Below are 7469 nucleotides of genomic sequence, written 5' to 3' on the forward strand. Positions count from 1 at the left end.
TATATAACCACAATGTCTTCAATATTGCTATTGTGACATATGGTGGTTTTAAAATACGCCTAAAAATTCTTTACTACTCTGCTCTTCAAGTGATGAAATTAGCTGAGCATGGTGGCATGTACCTGTAGTCCTAGCTACTCAGGAGACTGAGGCAGGAGGATCACTTGAGTCCAGGAGTTCAAGTCTGCAGTAAGCTATGATCATGCCACTGCACTCCAGCCTGGGCCACAGAGCGAGACCTTGTCTCTTAAAAAGAAAAAAAGATGGAACTTAATTCCCTTCCTGTTGAGGGTGGACCGGACTTTGTGACGTACTTGTAATGAATAGCATGTGGCAGAAGTAACAGTGCGTGCAGCTTCTGTGATTAGGTCTTAAAAGGGAATGTGGCTTCCTCCCTGTCTGGCTTTCTTGAATTATTCATTCAGGGTAGGCCAACTGCCATTTCATGAAGACACTCAACTAGTCCTGTGGAGAGGTCCACGTGGTGGGAACTGAGGTTTCCTGCTAAAACCCAGCACTAACTTGCAGGGTGAGTGTCTTCATGCATTTTGTGCTGCTCTAACAGAATACCTGAGACCGGGTAATTTATAAAGAGCAGTAATTTATTTCTTCACAGTTCTACACACTAGGAAGTCCAAGATTAAGACAGCGGCATCTGGCAAGGGCCTTCTTGCTGTGTCATCACATGGCAGCAAGGCAAAGAGAGAGAAAAAGAGGGGATGAACTCATCCTTTTGTAACAGTATCAATCCCACCTCTGAGGGCAGAGCCATTACGACCTAATAACCTCTTAATGTTCCACCTCTTAATACTATGACAATGTCAGTTAAATTTAAAGACAGATATTCAAATCATGGTGCCAGGTGCAAGAGCCACCTAGGAAGTGGATTCTCCAGGCCTCATCCAGCATTCGGACGATTGCAGACCTGGTCAACTTCTTGAAAATCTCATGGGAGACCGAGTTAGAACCGCCCAGCCAAGCTGTTCCTGACCCACAGAGACTGTGTGAAATACTAAGTGTTTATTGTTTTATGCTACTAAATTTGGGGAAAATTCATTAGCAGCAACAGATAGCTAACATATCTAGATGGCTGAGATCATCCGTTTTTGTTTTGATCCTTATTAATTTCCCTCTTGCAGGGTTATCTTGACTTCTAATCTACAGGGACACTCGAGAACACTAACCTGTGAACCATCATTTTCTTATCTGTAAAATGCAAGATTGGTATGAAGGGCACAAAGCAGGGACTTAAATGGAAATGATTAATATTGTTGTCGATGCTCATTAATAATGGAAGCCTTGGGTATCTTCCATTTGCCCCTCCATATCCATGTCCATTTCCAATCTTTTCTCACCCTACTCTGTGCCCCAGGAGGGGCTGACTTCCATGGACTATGTCAGTGGCCTCTCTGGTTCTCAGCCTTCCGGTAGAGTTTGGCAAATGAGAAATACTGGCAGGAGATAGGAGGAGGGCCAGAGGAAAGGGATGTATTTCCTTGGTTTCTTCCTTTCCAAGTCACCATGCTTTATCTTCATTCCTCTACCTCAGGCCACCCTGTCTTGGTACTGGTAACTACTGTCTCCTCTCTCCCCTCCAGGCCTCTGAATGATAACTGCTCCCCTCTTTTGCTAGCCCCAGGGTGTGTCAGTGTCCTTTGGTGGGCTCCCTAAGCTCTGTCTGCACAACTTTGTAAATAGTCCCTGTATTAAACTCACCTCAAATTGTATAGATCCCCTGCAGGGATCCTAAATGAGAATGGCTAGTTTTAGTTGCTTTTAATAATGATCCTGGATTTTTTAAAAGAAACAAACATTCTATAACCAGAAAGATTTCTGAGAATCCAAATAGATACAAGATTGAGCTTAGAAAAATCTAAAGAAATGGTTGTTTAGAATATCCCAACTTGAATTATCTGGCAAATGTACGTATCACAGATATGAAAGGAACCTTGTTTCCCTCCTGAGAGCAAAACCCAGAACCTCCAAGCAAAACCCAGGACCTCCAAAGTCGTCTGTGGAAGGAGTATAGCTGGAGTAAGACAGCAGGGAGAGCCAGGCGCCATGGCTCACACCTGTAACCCCAGCACTTTGGGAGGCTGAGGTTGGCGGACCACTTGAGATCAGGAATTTGAGACCAGCCTGGCCAACATGGTGAAACCCCATCTCTACTAAAAACACAAAATTTGTTGGGTGTGATGGCGCATGCCTGTAATTCCAGCTACTCGGGAGGCTGAGGCAGGAGAATCACTTGAACCTCGGAGGCGGAGTTTGCAATGAGCCAAGATCTCGCCATTGCACTCCAGCCTGGGAGACAAGAGCAAGACTCCATCTCAAAAAGAGAGCAGTAAGACCAGTGGGAGAGGGCAGTTGGCCAGCCTTGACAGTGTTTCCTGAGAGGACACTTCTCACCCTGAATGCTACTGCCTCCTGCCCACAGGGTGTTGCTGCTTCTCTTTCATGCTTTCCCTAGAACTTCAACAACAGCAACAAAAGCTTTATAGATATTTAAGGAGACCAAAAAGGAGAAAGCCTGAGGAAGAGCCATCCACTTAGGCTGCTCCTCATCCTACTGGAATGAGGAAGTGTAGCTTGGATTCCCAGCCTGGCTGACTTCTCCAAGCGTTGACATCTGTCCCACCCCATGGGGCCAACACACCTTCCCAGGCACCTGCCTGAGTTTCTCATCTTCGAAGTGGGCATAATACTATATTGAGAGGGTTCATCTATGTAAAGTGCCTGGGACAGTGTTGACACCCTGTATGTGCTAATTTTAATAGCAGCAGCAGCAGCTGTAGTTATTAGTGAAGATAATGGGTGTGGAACATGAACATTTGTTTTGACATGTAGGGTTGAAATTTATGCCAAGAGCCTCTGCCTAAACCCAAGAGTCCCAAGAGTGTCTGGGATAGACTATGAAAAAGCATTAAAAGCCTGATGTCTGTACAGAGATCACACAAATTGGCCTGTAGATGATTTTTGTTGAAGGGGTGGTGACAGAGCAGTAATAAAAAACCTAAGTTGTTCTTATCCACTGAGTTGAGTCTTTAGAACCCAGCTTAATATTTTCATGGCTCAGATTTATTTTGAATCTTAGCTTTTATTTAGTGCTTTAAAATGGGAGCAGATTGGGCTTACGAAAGGATGCAAAACTTGCCCTGACATTAAATGGCCCCAATTGCTAGCCTCTTCAGTTCTTATATCTCAATTATAATTTTTTATATTATAATTGTTGGCCTGTTTCCTCACGCTATGCTTTTAGCAGCCAGATCTTATTGCTTAGAAAGTGATTAATAAATGTTGGTTCATTAGTAATGTTTGGTTAATGACTGTAAATGCTTTCTCATTTTCCATTTCCCCTCTTTATTGTTAATTGCTTCTAATCTATAAACTGGGAAGACAGATGTCAAATCTTGTAGTAGTGTATGCAGCTGGAACAAGTCAGTACTGGGAAACAGATTATTTTACTCTTGGAGCACCTGCCCATGTGGAGCTCCTTTTGAAGAAAGCCGATCATTTGACCCTGCCACCATGGAGCAGAGATGGACAGCAAACCCAACAACAGTTGGCTATAGACTGAAAGCCAAGGAGTCAGTCTCCAAAGAACATCAGAAACCAATGGAACCAATCAAATCCTCTCTTTTGGAGAGTTTGAATGTGAGTCTCAAGAGGACATCCCATGCTGAGGAGGTTGAGGCTAACCCATGCAGAGATAAGGCAGCAAGCAAGCCCTTAGGTAGAGCGAGGCTGTAGGAGGAGTAGCCGTGGAGGCAGAGTGGCTTTGTTGCCTGATGGTGAAACCTCAGAGTCAGGGGCCACTGGGCAATGCTGCCAGCATGGAGCTACAGTAATTCCAAATGACTCCTAACCATGTCCTGCTGACTTCCATGACTGTTAGAAGGAAAGTTGGTGCTGCCTAGTTGTTCCCTTGCATGTGGCTGTGTGGGCTGTTTTGGTTTATTTGTTTAAGAGGCAAACTGTGGAGAGGTAAAGAACTTTCACTTACTCTAACCAGAGTATCCTTATTTTCTAGAACACTTTTTAAAAATTTAAGCATTTGATATATGGAACCTGGTATAGATATTAAAATGCACTCAAGAGGAAACATGCTTTTGAGCTGAGGTCCTATTTTCCAGCTTCTTTTCCTTTTTTTTTTTTTTTTTGAGATGGAGTCTCACTCTGTCACCCAGGCTGGAGTGCAGTGGTGTGATCTCACCTCGCTGCAACCTCCGCCTCCCGGGTTCAAGTGATTCTCCTGCCTCAGCCTCCAGAGTAGCGGGGTTTACAGGCATGTGCCACCACATTCAGCTAACTTTTGTACTTTTAGTAGAGACGGGTTTTCACCATGTTGGTCAGGCTGGTCTCTAACTCCTGACCTCGTAATCTACCCGCCTCAGGTTCCCAAAGTGCTGGGATTACAGTCGTGAGCCACCATGCCTGGCCAGTTTCTTTTCCTTTTATTTTGGGTCTGGCAGGAGGCTTTTATATTGTCTCCCAGGTGTGAGGACTAGTCACTGTATCATGCTTGTAAAGAATGAAATGGGTTTGGAAAAAGAAAAAAAAAACAATTTCAAGTTGCTACTGGCTTTAAAAATCCTACTCAGAGTATCAGCTAGCACAGCTTTTAGATGCTCAGGTCAAGGTCATGGAATCTCTCTTTCCTCTTCTTTGCTTTCTCAACTCTTCAGGTACACACACCCCCATCCACTTCTTCCACTGACTTCTCAGACTGTCTTCCCTCCTTAACTCTTTCCATTCTCTGTGTTCTTCTGACACAATGTAATACTTCCCAGCACCAAACATTATTACACTGTGTTGATAGATAAAGAACCCAAGGTGCTGGCCTGAGAGACAGAGCCAGGCTCAGTGAGGACATTCATTGCCAGCTGTCATGGGAGAGTGGATGGAGATTGTAGCAGTGGGCTCAAGAAAGTCAGAAAACAAAGGCTTTCTAAACAAGTGGAGGAGAAATCTAGAAGTCATAAAGGAAAAATGAACACATCTGACTACATAAAATATCTTAAAACTATAAGTGGAAAAAGATACCATAAACAAAGTCAGAAGGCAAATGACAGAGTGGACAAAAATATTAGCAACACATGTAACAGATAAAAGGTAAATGTCCTTCCTATACAAAGAGTGCTCTACAGTTTAAAAAGGAAATATGAAAGGTCCAATAGAAAAATGGTTTGAGGTTTGAATAGACAATTCACAGAGGAGAAAATGCATACCTCCAGAAGACATAAAATTATGCTTAGCATTACTTTAGTCAAAGACGTATGACATAAAACAATCAGGTTTTTGTCTGTCAGATTGGATAAAACTAAAATGACAGATAAGAGTAAGAAAATGGCTGCATTGATATAGTTAGTGGAGGGTACATCACACAACCTTTTGGAATAGAGTTTGGCCATGTCAATTAACATTACCATGTGCCCTACTCAGTGATCCAGCAGATCTACTTCTAGAAATCTGGCATACAGAAAAACTCATGCACATGCATAAAGATACATGGATGAGATTTTCATTGTAGCTCTGGGATATAATAGCAAAAATGGAAAACTGAAATGTTAATAAGGGAATGTTTAAATAAACCATGCATGGTGCATGGTTAACCTAGGCAGTAGATAAAAAGAATGAGGTGGCTCTACAGACACTAACCTACAAAGATGTTCATCGTATATTAAGTGTAAAAAGCCTGTTGAAAAATTGGATAAACAGCATGAATCAATTTCTACACTTTTTTTAAAGTATGAAGAAATAGTGATTTATGGGTAGGTATGCAGGGATAAATACAGAGCAAATGGTTAACAGCAGTTTAATCTGAGAAGTGGAAAGTGGGGTCTTGTGAGACTTTGTATAGTTCTTTCTTTCTAAGCACAGTTGAGTTATGGGAGGTTTTGCTTTATGTGTTTTTCACTAACTTTCTAAAATATCTCAATGACAAAATATGGTACAATTGTAAGGACATTTGTGATAACTGATCGATCTGTTATATGCCTATTTTGCTTTAGGCACTGTACTAGAGTGATTCCACAAGCTAATTTTATCTTCATCACTCCCTATGCAATACATATTATTATTAGAACCATTTTGCAGGTGAAGAATATGAAACTTAAAGAGCTGAAGCTACTTGTACACAGACTCTGGCTGTGGTCATGGCTTATAGGCAATTTGAAGCAAAGATGTTGGCAATAATGTAACACCCAGGGTGCTATAAGGACTAGATTGAAAGTCTGCCATCTGAGGAACTCTCTTTAAAGCACATGAATAGTCCTTAAAAACTGGGTCTCAATACATCCTTCCCCAGCTGTGGTCAAGTCCCCCTTCTTTTGGCTTTTGATGTCCTGGCTTTGTAGGCTTGCTGTACTCTAGACAAGGAATGCAAATGAGTGTTGAATGAGAGTAGGGGTTTGAAGTCCCAAGCACTAGAAGGCAAATTTACCTTCCCCCACTTAATCCTGGGTAAGCAAAACTGAATGGTAGCCCAGGTATGTCAGCTGCCCTCATTCTCGGCAACACTTCCAACTCCTTTTCTGCCTCTTTCACAGGACAAATCTCCAGCTGCGAAGTCCCCAGAGACACCTTCCACAAAGCTGGCAGCCTTTGCCCAGGGCTGTGGCAATTACTCCAAATGTTGGGAGAGTCCAAACCTCCTCTTCTAACTTTGTGTATAGGGGATCTCTGTCTTCCATGCTGGGGGATGGGAGAAAGGGGTTGAGTCTGCATAGGGCTGAAGCTGCCAGCAAGAGCTGGGACCCAGGAGAGCAGGCGAGAAGGGAGGGGTCAGGGCAGCCAGAAAACTTGTGGTTCTGAAATGAATCTGCATGAGTCATTTGTTTAAAAAGGGCGGAGTTTCTGGAGCCCCCAGATAATCCTGGGGAATAGAGTAGACCAGAAAAGACAAAATACAATGAAAGGATCAAGGGACAGCTAAATGCCTGAGATAGGCCCTTGGCTTGTGCTTAAATGATCCGTGTAGGTGTGTGTGTGTGTGTGTGTGTGTGTGTGTGTGTGTGTGTGTGTTTAGTGAAGTCTGCCAAGCTCTCATGACTTGATTCAAGTATCAGGTCACCTGTCCCACCAATCAAATATCCTTATCTTTCGGTTGGAGAATCTTCCCTCCTCCCTGATTCCACTCCCCAGTGCAGGCTACCGTCCCAGCTTTGTTAGGGGATAGGCAAATTGCTCAAGATCATTCAGTCTCGCCTACCAAGTCAGGACTGCTTTCCTAGAGCAGTTAGCCCGCCTCAGCTCAGCTCAGGTGGCCTTTGGAAAATCCCTGGCTGTTACCAGATCACGGCCTTCAATTTTTTTTTTTTTAACTGCAACCCTTAGTAAGAAATACATGTTATATCATAACCCAGTTCATAGGTGTGCATGGCCACACATACACACAAACGGACACAGAAGTTTCAACAAACAGTACTTACTTAATACTTAGCCCAATTATCTGATTCTTTTCCATTCTA

At 43.1% G+C, this 7469-nt stretch overlaps 2 annotated features.

The window, feature by feature from the left end:
* Nucleotides 1-80: an enhancer, noted in NCBI's record as "active region_9639". NCBI's record gives its function as "activates an Ori minimal core promoter by ATAC-STARR-seq in GM12878 lymphoblastoid cells {active_cell/tissue: GM12878}" and the evidence as "EXISTENCE:reporter gene assay evidence [ECO:0000049][PMID:35858748]".
* Nucleotides 6678-6727: an enhancer, noted in NCBI's record as "active region_9640". NCBI's record gives its function as "activates an Ori minimal core promoter by ATAC-STARR-seq in GM12878 lymphoblastoid cells {active_cell/tissue: GM12878}" and the evidence as "EXISTENCE:reporter gene assay evidence [ECO:0000049][PMID:35858748]".

Source organism: Homo sapiens, chromosome 15 (assembly GCF_000001405.40).
Source record: "Homo sapiens chromosome 15, GRCh38.p14 Primary Assembly".
Lineage (NCBI taxonomy): Eukaryota > Metazoa > Chordata > Mammalia > Primates > Hominidae > Homo > Homo sapiens.